The sequence below is a fragment of the Homo sapiens genome, chromosome 3, assembly GCF_000001405.40.
Source record: "Homo sapiens chromosome 3, GRCh38.p14 Primary Assembly".
NCBI lineage: Eukaryota > Metazoa > Chordata > Mammalia > Primates > Hominidae > Homo > Homo sapiens.
In genome coordinates this window covers 75579100-75580464 of record NC_000003.12, presented here as the reverse complement: position 1 = coordinate 75580464, position 1365 = coordinate 75579100, and the positions used below count along the sequence as shown (strand labels likewise).

General features: G+C 68.6%; 1 annotated feature.

Annotated features, from left to right (window-relative positions):
• Positions 1-210: a silencer, noted in NCBI's record as "silent region_14537". NCBI's record gives its function as "represses an Ori minimal core promoter by ATAC-STARR-seq in GM12878 lymphoblastoid cells {active_cell/tissue: GM12878}" and the evidence as "EXISTENCE:reporter gene assay evidence [ECO:0000049][PMID:35858748]".

The window sequence follows — 1365 nt, the reverse complement described above, 5'->3', positions numbered from 1 at the left end:
ACGGGCAGGGGACAGCGACCGCCTAGGCCGGGCAGGTGAGCGCGGCGCAGGCCCTGGCACGGCGTGTCCGCGGTGCGCGCGAGCGGCCAGCAGAGGGCGCCAGAGAGCCAGGAGCGGCCCGCGGAGGAGCCCGCGCCGGCCCCGATGCCCAGCTCCGCGCCGCGCGGACCCACCGAGCCCGCGCTCAGATGCCCCAGCTCAGCCGAGAGGCCGCTCGCGCCGGGTCCTTCCTCTTCCCCAAGTGCAGGCAGAGCCCCCGGAGCCATGGCCAGTCCTTCCGGCAGCTCCGAAGCCACTGGCAAGACCCGAGGCAGGGATGGCCGGCCCAGGAGGGAGGAGGACGACGTCCCTCCCGAGGAGAAGAGGCTGCGGCTGTTGCTGGAGGGAGGGGGGAAGGGCACAGCCCGAGGACTGCGAGGACGGAGAGGACGCGCCGCGGCCGGGCAGGGAGGAGACCGGCACCCAGACAGGTGGCGACGGCAGAGGAGTAAGTGACGCGGGCGCAGGGGTCCGGGGGTGCCGGGGGCGCGGGGGTGCTGGGGACGCGGGGTAGGGGCGGCGGGAGGCTCCGTGGCCGGCCCCGGGTTGAAGTTGGTAACTGAGCGGCAACTCCGGCGGGCGCGGAGTGACAGCTCGTGACGGCCTCCGAGATGTCAGCTGTCCCTTCTCGGCTGTGTGGCTTCGACTTCCTGATTCTCCCACGACGTCCCTGGCCGGGAGACCAGCTGGACTCTGCGGCTAGCCAAAAGGGGAGGGGGAGCCCCGCGTCCTGGGGGCCCCCAGCAGGGGAAGGGGCGGGGGTTGCTCTGGGCATCCTGTCTGGGTCATCTGTCTGGGACTCTGTCGGTGCCTCTCACCTGGCGAGGGGCTTGTGGTGGGGGTAGGGGGAAAGTCCCTGGCGCCAGGCTTGGCCAAGCCCTGCTCTGCTGGGCTGCGGGCTGGCGGCGCTCACCCAGCTCCTCACCTGCCCCGCATCTTCCTGTTTTTCTTCCCTTTCTTGTTGAGCAGCGAGAGTTGAGAGGAGGCAGATGGCTTCCATCCCAAAAATCGCTCTCCTCTTTCCATCCCTACAGAGAGGGACAGAGAGGCAAAGTTCCTTGCATCCCCCGGGGCGCTGTCCCTGTGAGCTCCCGGTGTCTTGCACACGTGGGCCCCTGAGTCACCGGGCCTGTGTGTGTGCGATGGGGCTCTGTGGTCAGCCTGTCCTCCTGGGGTTCACTTTCTGCTTTCCTACCCCAACTCTTCCTGTGTGGCTTTGCTGGCCTTCCAGTGGGAGGCACGTGGGTTTGGAGGGCAGATGAGGGCCCACTGGAGAGCTGTACCCCTCAGTGAGGGCCGCCACCTTGATGGTTTTTGATGGATAAT